Source organism: Homo sapiens, chromosome 11, assembly GCF_000001405.40.
Source record: "Homo sapiens chromosome 11, GRCh38.p14 Primary Assembly".
NCBI lineage: Eukaryota > Metazoa > Chordata > Mammalia > Primates > Hominidae > Homo > Homo sapiens.
Genome location: NC_000011.10, coordinates 3,482,997 through 3,497,931, shown reverse-complemented (window position 1 = coordinate 3,497,931; position 14,935 = coordinate 3,482,997). Strand labels below are relative to the sequence as shown.

The window sequence follows — 14,935 nt, the reverse complement described above, 5'->3', positions numbered from 1 at the left end:
TCAGACGATTAAATTACTCCGAGCTAAAGGAGGAAGCTCGAACCCATGGCAAAGAAGTTAAAAACCTTGAAAAAAAATCAGATGAATGGCTAACTAGAATAATCGATGCAGAGAAGTCCTTAAAGGACCTGATGGAGCTGAAAACCAAGGCACGAGAACTACGTGACAAATGCACAAGCCTCAGTAGCCGATTCGATCAACTGGAAGAAAGGGTATCAGTGATGGAAGATGAAACGAATGAAATGAAGCAAGAAGAGAAGTTTAGAGAAAAAAGAATAAAAAGAAATGAACAAAGCCTCCAAGAAATATGGGACTATGTGAAAAGACCAAATCTACGTCTGACTGGTGTACCTGAAAGTGACAGTGAGAATGGAACCAAGTTGGAAAACACTCTGCAGGATATTATGCAGGAGAACTTCCCCAATCTAGCAAGGCAGGCCAACATTCAAATTCAGGAAATACAGAGAACACCACAAAGATATTCCTCAAGAAGAGCAACTCCAAGACACATAATTGTCAGATTCACTAAAGTTAAAATGAAGGAAAAAATGTTAAGGGCAGCCAGAGAGAAAGGTCAGGTTACCCACAAAGGGAAGCCCATCAGACTAACAGCTGATCTCTTGGCAGAAACTCTACAAGCCAGAAGAGAGTGGGTGCCAATATTCAACATTCTTAAAGAAAAAAATGTTCAACTCAGAATTTCAAATCCAGCCAAACTAAGCTTCATAAGTGAAGGAGAAATAAAATACTTTACAGACAAGCAAATGCTGATTTTGTCACCACCAGTCCTGCCCTACAAGAGCTCCTGAAGGAAGCACTAAACATTGAAAGGAACAATCAGTACCAGCCACTGCAAAAACATGCCAAATTGTAAAGACCGTCAAGGCTAGGAAGAAATTGCATCAACTAATGAGCAAAATAACCAGCTAACATCATAATGACAGGATCAAATTCACACATAACTATATGAACCTTAAATGTCAATGGGCTAAATTCTCCGATTAAAAGACAGACTGGCAAATTGGATAAAGAGTCAAGACCCATCAGTGTGCTGTATTCAGGAAACCCATCTCATGTGCAGAGACACACATATGCTCAAAATAAAGGGATGGAGGAAGATCTACCAAGCAAATGGAAAACAAAAAAAGGCAGGTGTTGCAATCCTAGTCTCTGATAAAACAGACTTTAAACCAACAAAGATTAAAAGAGACAAAGAAGGCCATTACATAATGGTAAAGGGATCAATTCAACAAGAAGAGCTAACTATCCTAAATATATGTGCAACCAATACAGGAGCACCCAGATTCAAAAAGCAAGTCCTTAGAGGCCTACAAAGAGGCTTAGACTCCCACACAATAATAATGGGAGACTTTAACACCCCACTGTCAACATTAGACAGATCAACAAGACTGAAAGTTAACAAGGATATTCAGGAATTGAACTCAGCTCTGCACCAAGCAGACCTAATAGACATCTACAGAACTCTCCACCCCAAATCAACAGAAAATACATTCTTCTCAGCACCACACCACACTTATTCCAAAATTGACCACATATTTGGAAGTGAAGCACTCCTCAGCAAATGTAAAACAACAGAAATTATAACAAACTGTCTCTCAGACCACAGTGCAATCAAACTAGAACTCAGGATTAAGAAACTCACTCAAAACTACTCAACTACATGAAAACTGAACAACCTGCTCCTGAATGACTACTGGGTACATAATGAAATGAAGGCAGAAATAAAGGTGTTCTTTGAAACCAACGAGAACAAAGACACAGCATACCAGAATCTCTCGGACACATTCAAAGCAGTGTGTAGAGGGAAATTTACAGCACTAAATGCCCACAAGAGAAAACAGGAAAGATCTAAAATTGACACTCTAACATCACAATTAAAAGAACTAGAGAAGCAAAGAGCAAACACATTCAAAAGCTAGCAGAAGGCAAGAAATAACTAAGATCAGAGCAGAACTGAAGGAAATAGAGACACAAAAAACCCTTCAAAAAATCCATGAATCCAGGAGCTGGTTTTTTGAAAAGATCAACAAAATTGATAGACCACTAGCAAGACTAATAAAGAAGAAAAGAGAGAAGAATCAAATAGACACAATAAAAATTGGTAAAAGGGATATCACCACCAATCCCAGAAAAATACAAACTACCACCAGAGAATAGTATAAACACCTCTATGCAAATAAACTAGAAAATCTAGAAGAAATGGATAAATTCCTCGACATGTACACCCTCCCAAGGCTAAACCAGGAAGAAGTTGAATCTCTGAATAGACCAATAATAGGCTCTGAAATTGAGGCAATAATTAATAGCCTAGCAACCAAAAAAAGTCCAGGACCAGACGGATTCACAGCCGAATTCTACCAGAGGTACAAGGAGGAGCTGGTACCATTCCTTCTGAAACTATTCCAAATAATAGAAAAAGAGGGAATCCTACCTAACTCATTTTATGAGGCCAGCATCATCTTGATACGAAAGCCCGGCAGAGACACAACCAAAAAAGAGAATTTTAGACAAATATCCCTGATGAACATCGATGAAAAAATCCTCTATAAAATACTAGCAAACCGAATCCAGCATCACATCAAAAACTTATCCACCATGAACAAGTGGGCTTCCTCCCTGGGATGCAAGATTGGTTCACATATTCAAATCAGTAAACATAATCCAGCATATAAACAGAACCAATGACAAAAACCATACGATTATCTCATTAGATGCAGAAAAGGCCTGTGACAAAATTCAACAACCTTCATGCTAGAAACTCTCAATAAATTAAGTATTGATGGGACGTATCTCAAAATAATAGGAGCTATCTATGACAAACCCACAGCCAATATCATACTGAATGGGCAAAAACTGGAAGCATTCCCTTTGAAAACTGGCACAAGACAGGGATGCCCTCTCTCACCACTCCTATTCAACACAGTGTTGGAAGTTCTGGCCAGGGCAATCAGGCAGGAGAAGGAAATAAAGGGTATTCAATTAAGAAAAGAGGAAGTCAAATTGTCCCTGTTTGCAGATGACATGATTGTATATCTAGAAAACCCCATTGTCTCAGCCCAAAATCTCCTTAAGCTGATAAGCAACTTCAGCAAAGTCTCAGGATACAAAATCAATGTGCAAAAATCACAAGCGTTCTTATACACCAATACAGACAAACAGAGAGCCAAATCATGAGTGAACTCCCATTCACAATTGCTTCAAAGAGAATAAAATACCTAGGAATCCAACTTACAAGGGATGTGAAGGACCTCTTCAAGGAGAACTACAAACCACTGCTCAACTAAATAAAAGAGGACACAAACAAATGGAAGAACATTCCATGCTCATGGGTAGGAAGAATCAATATCATGAAAATGTCCATACTGCCCAAGGTAATTTATAGATTCAATGCCATCCCCATCAAGTTACAAATGACTTTCTTCACAGAATTGGAAAAAACTGCTTTAAAGTTCATATGGAACCAAAAAAGAGCCCACATTGCCAAGTCAATCCTAAGCCAGAAGAACAAAGCTAGAGGCATCACGCTACCTGACTTCAAACTATACTACAAGGCTACAGTAACCAAAACAGCATGGTACTGGTACAAAAACAGAGATATAGACCAATGGAACAGAACAGAGCCCTCAGAAATAATGCCACATATCTACAACCATCTGATCTTTGACAAACCTGAGAAAAACAAGCAATGGGGAAAGGATTCCCTATTTAATAAATGGTGCTGGGAAAACTGGCTAGCCATATGTAGAAAGCTGAAACTGGATCCCTTCCTTACACCTTATACAAAAATTAATCCAAGATGGATTAAAGACTAAATGTTAGACCTAAAACCATAAAAACCCTAGAAGAAAACCTGAGCAATACCATTCAGGACATAGGCATGGGCAAGGACTTCATGTCTAAAACACCAAAAGCAATGGCAACAAAAGCCAAAATTGACAAATGGGATCTAATTAAACTAAAGAGCTTCTGCACAGCAAAAGAAACTACCATCAGAGTGAACAGGCAACCTACAGAATGGGAGAAAATTTTTGCAACCTACTCATCTGACAAAGGGCTAATATCAAGAATCTACAATGAGCTCCAATAAATTTACAAGAAAAAAACAAACAATCCCATCAAAAAGTGGGCAAAGGATATGAACAGACACTTCTCAAAAGAAGACCTTTATGCAGCCAAAAGACACATGAAAAAAATGCTCATCATCCCTGGCCAGAGAAATGCAAGTCAAAACAACAATGAGATACCATCTCACACCAGTTAGAATGGCGATCATTAACAAGTCAGGAAACAACAGGTGCTGAAGAGGATGTGGAGAAATAGGAACAATTTTACACTGTTGGTGGGACTGTAAACTAGTTCAACCATTGTGGAATTCAGTGTGGCAATTCCTCAGGGATCTAGAACTAGAAATACCATTTGACCCAGCCATCCCATTACTGGGTATATACCCAAAGGATTATAAATCATGCTGCTATAAAGACACATGCACACGTATGTTTATTGCGACACTATTCACAATAGCAAAGACTTGGAACCAAGCCAAATGTCCAACAACGATAGACTGGACTAAGAAAATGTGGCACATATACACCATGGAATACTATGCAGCCATAAAAAATGATGAGTTTACATCCTTTGTAGGGACATGGATGAAGCTGGAAACCATCATTCTCAGCAAACTATTGCAAGGACAAAAAACCAAACACCGCATGTTCTCACTCATAGGTGGGAATTAAACAATGAGAACACATGGACACAGGAAGGGGAACATCACACACTGGGGCCTGTTGTGGGGTCGGGGGAGGGGGGAGGGATAGCATTAAGAGATATACCTAATGTTAAATGACGAGTTAATGTGTACAGCACACCAACATGGCACATGTATACATATGTAACAAACCTGCACGTTGTGCACATGTACCCTAAAACTTAAAGTATAATAAAAAATAAAAAATAAAATAAAAACTTTGGCTGTTGACTCCAAATATCCTGCTTCATCATCTCTCCACTCCAGAAACATTTCACATGCTTACAAAGGGTGTTCGTTTCTCCTCTAAGTATTTGCTCGCCAGCCCCACCTGCAAGAAGGTGGAAGTAGGGCCTCTGCCTGGGATGGTAACTCTCAAATGTAAGGCAAGACCTGTCTCTCCACCAATATCCCCAGGACTGAAGGACTGTGAAAGTCTGCATATTGATCAAGCTTCTCCCTCCCTTATCTGAAGGGACTTACTTCCTTCAAGACACTTTTCCTCTTCCCACCTAGCTCCATGCCCCCATCCAGTCATCTTCCAACCCATCTCTCCCCACCTGCATGCCACACAAGAGGGGCGTGACCACAGCACCTGGAAGTTCCTTAAAGTGGAATGGTGTGTCAGGCCGGGTGCGGTGGCTCATGTCAGTAACCCCAGCACTTTGGGAGGCTGAGGCAGGCAGGTCACTTGAGGTCAGGAGTTCGAGACCAGCCTGGCCAAAATGGTGAAATTCCATCTCTACTAAAAATATAAAAATTAACTGGGTGTGGTTGTGCTTGCCTGTAGTCCCAGTACTTGGGGGGGGGCTGAGGCAAGGGAATCACTTGAACCTGGGAGGCAGAGGTTACAGTGAGCCAAGATTGCGCCATTGCACTCCAGCCTGGGCGACAGAGTGAGACTCTGTCAAAAAAAAAAAAAAAAAAAAAAAAATCGAATGGTGTGATTAGCTTATGATTTTTTAAAAATGGAATGATGTATTCATTTTCTAAGCTGCATAACAAATCAACACAAATTTAGCAGCTTAAAACACCCATCTATTCCCTCTCCTTTCCTGTGGGTCAGGAGTCTGGGGGTGCAGCTTTAGCTGGGTGCTCTGCTCAGGTTCTTACAAGGTTGTGATCAAGGTGTCGGCTGGAATTAGTGTCTCATATGAGGCTTGGGGTCCTCTCCCAACCTCACATGGTTGTTGGCAGAATTTATTTCCATGCAACTGTGGAACTCATGTGGCTGGCTTCTTCAAAACCAGCCGGGCAAGGTGGCTCACACCTGTAATCCCAGCCCTTTCGGAGGCCGAGGCAGGTGGATCACCTGATGTCAGGAGATGGAAACCAGCCTGGCCAATATGGTGAAACCCCGTCTCTACATAACTTAGCCGGGCATGATGGCGCACACCTGTAATCCCAGCTACTTGGGAGGCTGAGGCAGGAGAATCACTTGAACCCAGGAGGCAGAGGTTGCAGTAAGCCGAGATCGTGCCACTGCACTCCAGCCTGGGCAACAGGTGAGACTCCATGTCAAAAACAAACAAACAAACAAAAACCAAAAACCAGGAGGAAGGAGTTTCTCTCCTCCAGACCTTCATTGAAGATCTCACCTGAAGATGTCAGGCCCACCCTGAATAATCTCCCTTTTGATTAACTCAAAGTGAATGGATTAGGGGCTTAGTTACATCTGCAAAATCCCTTCAACTTTTTCATAGGTATAGATTAGAAGCAAGCCACGGGTCCTGCCTACACTCCAGGGGAGAGGAGATTACACCTGGCATTTATCCAGGGCAAGAACCTAAGGGGTCATCTCAGAATTCTGCCTTCCAAACAGATCCTCGGTGGAGCTTACATGCCTGGGCGAGCACCAGCCTTTGTTTATAGGCAACAGAGAATGGTGTCCTGGCTCAGATCTCCAGCAAGCCTCCACAATGATGGTCCAGTATCTGAACCCAGGGCCAAGGCAGCAGGAGCTTTGGGTGCACATGGGGGCTTCCCCCACTTTGAAGTGAGTCGCCACATCCGTATTAGACCCTAGCTGTTGCTTAGGCAAAAATGATGATTTAGAAGAAGATGGAGAGAAGAGGAGAGATAATTTAAAAGTACTTATATTTGGCCGCGCGTGGTGGCTCATGCCTGTAATCCCAGCACTTTGGGAGGCTGAGGCAGGCGGATCATGAGGTCAGGAGATGGAGACCATCCTGGCTAACACGGTGAAATCTTGTCTCTATTAAAAATACAAAAAATTAGCTGGGCGTGGTGGCGGGCACCTGTAGTCCCAGCTACTCAGGAGGCTGAGGCAGGAGAATGGCGTGAACCCAGGAGGCGGAGCCTGCAGTGAGCCGAGATCTCTCCACTGCACTCCAGCCTGGGCAACAGAGCGAGACTCCATCTCAAAAAAAGAAAAAAAAAAGAGAAAATACTTATATTCATTCCCTAGGGCTGCCACAACTAAGTACCAAAAGCTGGGTGACTTGAAACCAGAGAAATTGATTGTCCTGTGGCTCTGGTGGCCAGCAGTCTGAAACGGACGTGCCAGCAGGGCCACGCTCCCTCCTGCACTTGTCGGGGAGTCCTGCCTTGCCTCTTCCTAGCTTCCTGTGGTCTCCTGGCAGTCTTCAGTGTTTCTTGGTTTGCATACGCATCAGTCCAATCTTCCGTCCAATCCATGGCCTTCTTCCCTGTGTCTCTGTGACTCGGTGTGTCCTCTCCTCTTTTATAAGGACACCAGTCATTGACTTAGGGCCCTCCCTACTCCAGCAAGACTTCATCCTAATCAATAGCATCTGCAATAACCCTATTTCTTTCTTTCTTTCTCTTTTTCTTTTTTTCTTTGTTTCTTTCTTTCTCTCTCTCTCTCTCTTTCTTTCTTTCGAGACGGAGTTTCACTCTTGTTGCCCAGGCTGGAGTGCAATAGCGCGATCTCAGCTCAATGCAACCTCCGTCTCCTGAGTTCAAGCAATTCTCCTGCCTCAGCCTCCCGAGTAGCTGGGATTACAGGTATGCGCCGCCACCTCACCCAGGTAATTTTGAATTTTTAGTAGAGAAGGGGTTTCTCCATGTTGGTCAGGCTGGTCTCAAACTCCTGACCTCAGGTGATCCACCCGCCTTGGCCTCCCAAAGTGCTGGGATTTCAGGCGTGAGCCACCACGCCTGGCCCGCAATAACTGTATTTCTAAATAAGGTCACATTCTGAGCTCCTAGAATTTAGGATTTCAACATGTTTTGAAGAGGACTCAATTTAACCCGTAAGAATACTATGTGGACCACACATGCTGCTTCACATCTGTTATCCCAGCACTTTGGGAGGTTGAAGCAGGAGGATCATTGCTCAGGGCGTAGGGGGACACGAGGTGCATAAAACCACAGCGTTGACTGGTGTGGGGGCTCACACCTGTATGTTTGGGAAGCTAAGGCAGGGCGATCACTTGAGCCCAGGAGTTTGAGGCCAGCCTGGGTGACATAGTGAGATTTCACTTCTAAAAAAAAAAAAAAATTTAATTAGCTGGGCATGGTGGTAGCCACCTACAGTCCCAGCTACTCAGGAGGCTGAAGCAGGAGGGTCGCTTGAGTCCAGAAGATCAAGGCTGTGGTGAACTGTGATTGCACCACTGCACTCCAGCCTGGGCAACAGAGCAAGCCCTGTCTCAAACAAACAAAAAAATAAATGAAAGTCATCTCCCTTGTCTTCTGATTCCCTGAGCTGTCATAGAAAGGAAGTGAAGCAGTGAAAGCATCCCCCCAAAAGGGACTTTTCAAAACCAGCCTAAGCCACATAGCAAGAGCTTGCCTTTAGAAAGTATTTAAATTTGAAGGAAAAAAAAAAAAGCAGTACTGTGGCACAGAGTTGACAGCTACAGGTGTGGCTACATCCAGGTCCTAAAACTATATCATCAGAATGACCCCTCACCCTCCCCGCGCTTTCCATTTTACTTTCTTAAGCATGAACATGAAATTTCCAAGATTGTTTCTCCTTTGGCTAATCTGCTTCTCAGACCCAATCACTGTGGCCAGGGTGGTGGAAGGATGCTGACATCCAGGCTGGGACTACATGCCCCAGCTCCAGATCAGGATGGGGAATGGCCAGTCGCAAACATGTCGTGGGGGACTGGTGACTCCTCGGTGGAAAATCGGGGACTGTCATTGGAGAGGAGCGATAGAAGAAAGGCTGAAGCAGTGAAATGTATCTCCTGCACCAGCCTGGGCCTCGATGTCTTGAGTACTGATGACCCAGTACTCAGTCTAGGGCAATCCCAACTCCATCTGTGGGGCTGCCCACAGTACATGGACCCCCTCACTGGATTTGCTGACCACACGTGCAAACAGCCACTTCCCAGCCCCACTCCTCGCAATCCCCCTGAACCCTGTCAAAATTCCCCTCAGTTCTCACCAAGATTAAAAGCAATTCTGAGGGTGAGCGGCTCATTCTGTTAGTTTAACTCTCTCGATTCCTTCCCTCTCCAGAACTCTGTACTTGCTCCGTCACTGGTAATGACAATGAACATCTTCACGATCTCAGGTTTTATTGCAAAGTGATTGAGGACCAGTTAGAATAAGTTATGCTACAGAAACTAAAGAAATCCCGTCAAACAAATGGTATGTAATAGAAAGTCTTAGGGCAGCCGTGTATATTTTCTCCCCCAATGAATCAATTGAAAATGAGAAGCTGTTACCGCCATGTTCCGGGCAGAAGCTATCAAAAGTATAAGCCATGATATTATAATTTGATGATTTTTCATCCGTCAAATGGATATGGCCCAGGGGTGAAAAGTGGATGCTCTGTAACTAGATGATGGTCAAGAGTTATAAAAATGAGGTCCTCTCTGTTCAACATTTCTCCTTTCTTGAAAGGATACTCAATGTCATGCTCAGGGCCTCTAATGGCCAGAAATAAAGTTCCTCCCAGTTCCAGAGCACCCCAGGGCAACCCCAAAACCAGAGCAATTGCTTATTGCCATGTAGACTATGTACTGTGCAATTCCTGGGGTGGCATTTTCATAAATATGTGGGTGGCGCCCCCTGGAGGTATGCAATGCACAACTTGCACAAATGGTAAGTCATTGTATCCCAAAGTCCACAAAGAAGAGGTAAACAAAATTCCCATCGATGTTGCCATCAGTCATGAGTCTGCCTTTTCTTCATGGGACAGTAGCAAAAACAATTTGGCCAAGTGTGCTTGGATGATCTCTAAGATGGAATCAGGGTCTCTCACTTTCAGCACTATTGACATTTGGGGCTGGATCATTATTCTGTCTTAGTGGGAGTTGTCCGGGGCATTGTAGGATGCTTAGCAGCATCGCTGGCCTCTACCCATTAGCTGCCAGTAGCACCACCTCCTCCAGCCGCAACAACCAAAATTGTCTCCAGACATGGCCACATGTTCTCTGGGGGGCAAAATCACCCCCTGGTTGAGAAGCCCTGAAGTAAAGACATAATACGCAGATCACATGTAAGTAAGAGAGCCTAAGGGCCACACAGGTGATGCTGTACCCATGACAAAGCCAGAGTCTTAAAGAGGTTAGAGAGGTGGAGAAAGAGAAAAGAAATGAAGTCCCAGCTGCCGAGAGCAACAGATGCTGACTAGATGTTGTTGATAGTCATCTTTAAACTGAGTTAAAAGATGCTGAGAAGCCATCAGCTCCCATCCTGCTCTCCAGGGACAACTCTGCTGAAAAAGGCCTGGAGATCAACAAAGCCCCAAACACAGGTGCATTGAGCAAAGAAACCAGAGATTGAGACAAAAAAGACATTCCCTCAAAGACTACTCATTTCCAAGAGGGGAGAAAAAGTGGAGTCATGAAAAACAGTTGAGGCTGGGTAGAGTGACTCGCACCTGTAATCCCAGCACTTTGGGATTACTCCCAGGCTGAGATGGGAAGATTGCTTGAACTCAGGAGTTCAAGACCAGCCTGGGCAAAATAGCAAGACCGTGCCTCTAGAAAAAGGGAAAAAATTAGCCAGGTGTGGTGATACATGCCTGTGGTCTCAGCTACTCGGGAGGCTGAGGTGGGAGGATCGCTTGAACCCAGGAGGTAGAGGCTGCAGTGAGCAGGGATCGCACCACTGCACTCCAGCCTGGGCTACAGATCCTGTCTCAAAAAAGAAAAAAATTAAACAAAATTAAGGCCGGGCACGATGGCTCATTCCTGTAATCCCAGCACTTTGGGAGGCCAAGGTGGGCAGATCACGAGATGAGGAGATTGAGACCATCCTGGCTAACACGGTGAAACCCCATCTCTACTAAAAATACAAACAATTAGCCGGACATGGTGCTGGGTGCCTATAGTCCCAGCTACTCTGGAGGTTGAGGCAGAAGAATGGAGTGACCTCGGGAGGTGGAGCTTGCAGTGAGCCAAGATCACACCACTACACTCCAGCCTGGGCAAAAGAGCAAGACCCCATCTCAAAAAAAAAGAAAATTAAAAATTGTTTTGAGACCAAGTCTCACTCTGTCACCCAGGCTGGAGTGAAATGGTGCGATCTTGACTCACTGCAACCTCCGCCTCCTGGGTTCAAGTGATTCTCATGTCTCAACCTTGTGCCTCAACATGACTACAGGCATGTTGTCAACATGCCTAATTTTTGCATTTTTAGTAGAGATGGGTTTTCACCATGTTGTCCAGGATGGTCTTGAACTCCTAGGTTCAAGCAATCTACCCACCTCAGCCTCCCAAAATGCTGAGATTACAGGCATGAGCCACCGTGCCCGACCTCTAACTTTTCATTATGGAAATTTCCCATATACACAAAAAGCAGGGAAAGAATTATACCATGAACCCCCATGCACCCATCATCCCACTGCAAGAACTTGTCAACATTTCGCCAATCTCATTCCAGTACCCACTTTTCTTTTCCTTCTTGCTATTTTAGGATATTTTAAAGCAAATTCCAGACATTTCATTTCACCCACATCCATAACACGCCAGGGTGCATTCCTGATGTAAGGATTTTGTTTTGTTTTATAACCCCCCATGCCATTGCCACAGTTAATAGATTTAACATGAAGAAACTAAGATTCTTGCAGGTGGAGAAAAGATCTAATTACCACCTTAAAGCCTCTCCTACTAGCGCTTCTCAGATCTGAACGTGTATGCAAATCACCTGGGCATCTTGTTAAAATGCAGATTCTGGCCCAGGAGGTCCTTCCGGGTGAGCCCTGAGAGTCTTCAATTCCAAAAGCTCCCAGGTAACGCAATGCTGCGGGTCCATGAATCACACAAGAGGAAGTGTCGGCCAAACAACCACAACAACTGGGTGCAAAGTCCTGACTGTTCCTGACTGCAGGGCCTTCAGTGATCGGGGAAGCCGGGGACCATTTGGGAAAGAAGGGAGGTTTTTCGTATCAGCTCCAGGCCTTGTAGAACTGCCAGGGAATAACAGACCAAAGGGCAGCAAAGTCTAACCAACAGCACGAGTGCATTCATATTCCACAACCACTGCAGCAAAGAACCATGAAATGGGTGGCTTCAAACAATGTCTGGGCCGGGTGCCGTGGCTCACACCTAAATAATCTCAGGACTTTGGGAAGCTGAGGTGGGTGGATCACTTGAGGCCAGGAATTCGAGACCAGCCTGGCCAATATGGCAAAACCTCGTCTCTACTAAAAATACAAAAATTAGCCATGCATGGTGGCAGGCACCTGTAGTCCCCACTTCTTGGGAGGCTGAAGCAAGAGAATGGCTTGAGCCTGGGAGGTGGAGGTTGCAGTGAACTGAGATCGTGCCACTGCACTCCAGACTGGGCAACAGAGCAAGGCTCTGTCTAAAAGAAAAAAAAAAAATTGTCTGGAGGCCAGAAGTCCAAAATCAATCAAAGGTCAGCAGGAGCATGCTCCTTCAGAGGTTCTAGGGGAGAATCCATTCCTTGCGTCTTCCAGCTTATAGAGGCTCCTGGAATTCCTCAACTTGTGGCTGCATGAGACAATCTCTGCCTCTGTGATCACCTTGCCTCCTCCTCTTCTGTCTGGGTCTCCTCCTCTGGAGGAAGAGTGTCAGGCCTCTGAGCCCAAGCTAAGCCATCATATCCCCTGTGACCTGCACGTACACATCCAGATGGCCAGTTCCTGCCTTAACTGATGACATTATCTTGTGAAATTCCTTCTCCTGGCTCATCCTGGCTCAAAAGCTCCCCTACTGAGCACCTTGTGACCCCCACTCCTGCCTGCCAGAGAACAACCCCCCATTTTCCTTTACCTACACAAATCCTATAAAATGGCCACACCCCATCTCCCATCACTGACTGTCTTTTTGGACTCAGCCCACCTGAACCCAGGTGAAATAAACAGCTTTATTGCTCACACAAAGCCTGTTTGGTGGTCTCTTCACACAGATGCATGTGAAATTTGGTGCCGTGACTCGGATTGGGGGACCTCCCTTGGGAGATCAATCCCCTGTCCACCTGCTCTTTGCTCTGCGAGAAAGATCCACCTACGACCTCAGGTCCTCAGACTGACCAGCCCAAGAAACATCTCACCAATTTCAAATCTGGGAAGCAGCTTCTTTTTACTCTCTTCTCCAACCTCCCTTACTATCCTTCAACCTCTTTCTCCTTTCAGTCTTGGCACCACACTTCAATCTCTCCCTTCTCTTAATTTCAATTCCTTTCATTTTCTGGTAGAGATCAAGGAGACACGTTTTATCCGTGGACCCAAAACTCTGGTGCCGGTCATGGACTAGGGAAGGCAGCCTTCCCTTGGCGTTTAATCATTGCAGGGACGCCTCTGATTATTCACCCAGGTTTCAGAGGTGTCAGACCATGCAGGGACGCCTGCCTTGGTCCTTCACCCTTAGCAGCAAGTCCTGCTTTTCTGGGGGAGGCACAGGAACCCCACCCCCTCTTATCTCTGCACCTCGATCCGTTATTTCCATGCCCCGCCCTCTTATCTGTGTGCCCTGATCCCTTATTTCCACAACGTGACCTCCTATCTCTGCACTCCAACCCTTTATTTATGTGCCCCAACCCATTTCCTGCTTTTCTGGAAGGCAAGACCACCCCACCCCTACTCTTTGTGTCTCTACTCTCTCTTTTCTCTAGGCTTGCCTCCTTCACTATGGGCAAGCTTCCACCCTCCATTCCCCTTTCTTCTCCGTTAGCCTGTGTTCTTCAAAACCTAAAACCTCTTCAACTCACACCTGACCTAAAACCTAAATGCCTTATTTTCTTCTACAATGCCACTTGACCCCAATACAAACTCAACAGTGGTTCCAAATAGCCAGAAAATGGCACTTTCAATTTTTCCATCCTACAAGATCTAGATAATTCTTGTCATAAATGGGCAAATGGTCTGAGGTGCCTGACGTCCAGGCATTCTTTTACACATCGGTCCCTCCCTAGTCTCTGTTCCCAATGCAACTCATCCCAAATCTTCTTTCTTTCCCTCCCACCTGTCCCCTCAGTCCCAACCCCAAGTGTCGCTGAGACTTTCTAATCTTCCTTTTCTACAGACCCATCTGACCTCTCCCCTCCTTGCCAGGCTGAGCTATGTCCCAATTCTTCCTCAGCCTCTGCTCCTCTACCCTATAATCCTTTTATCACCTCCCCTCCTTACACTGGGTCCGGCTTACAGTTTCATTCCGTGACTGGCCCTCCCCATCCTGCCCAGCAATTTACTCTTAAAAAGGTGGCTGGAGCTAAAGGCATAGTCAAGGTTAATGCTCCTTTTTCTTTATCCCAAATCAGATAAGGTTTAGGCTCTTTTTCATCAAATATAAAAATCCAGCCCAGTTCATGGCTCGTTTGGCAGCAACCCTGAGATGCTTTACAGCCCTAGACCCTAAAAGTTCAAAAGACCATCTTATTCTCAGTATACATTTTATTACCCAATCTGCCCCCGACATTAAATAAAACTCCAAAAATTAAATTCCGGCCCTGAAACCCCACAACAGGACTTAATTAACCTCGCCTTCAAGGTGTACAATAATAGAGTAGAGGCAGCCAAGTAGCAACATATTTCTCAGTTGCAATTCCTTGCCTCCACTGTGAGACAAACCCCAGCCACATCTCCAACACACAAGAGCTTCCAAACACCTAAAGCGCAGTGGCCAGGCATTCCTCCAGAACCGCCTCTCTCAGGAGCTTGCTACAAGTGCCAGAAATCTGGCCACCAGGCCAAGGAATGCCTGCAACACGGGATTCCTCCTAAGCCATGTCCCATCTGTGTGGGACCCCACTAGAAATCGG

The 14,935-nt window shown here is 45.1% G+C and overlaps 1 pseudogene, besides 1 other annotated feature; it reads left to right on the top strand.

The window, feature by feature from the left end:
- Window positions 1-14,935, top strand: part of ENPP7P15 (ectonucleotide pyrophosphatase/phosphodiesterase 7 pseudogene 15) — a 70,864-nt pseudogene that overhangs the window by 2,690 nt on the left and 53,239 nt on the right.
- Window positions 8,252-8,753: an enhancer, noted in NCBI's record as "H3K27ac hESC enhancer chr11:3510409-3510910 (GRCh37/hg19 assembly coordinates)". NCBI's record gives its function as "activates a minimal SCP1, AML or CMV promoter by ChIP-STARR-seq in naive H9 embryonic stem cells {active_cell/tissue: H9 hESC(naive)}" and the evidence as "EXISTENCE:reporter gene assay evidence [ECO:0000049][PMID:30033119]".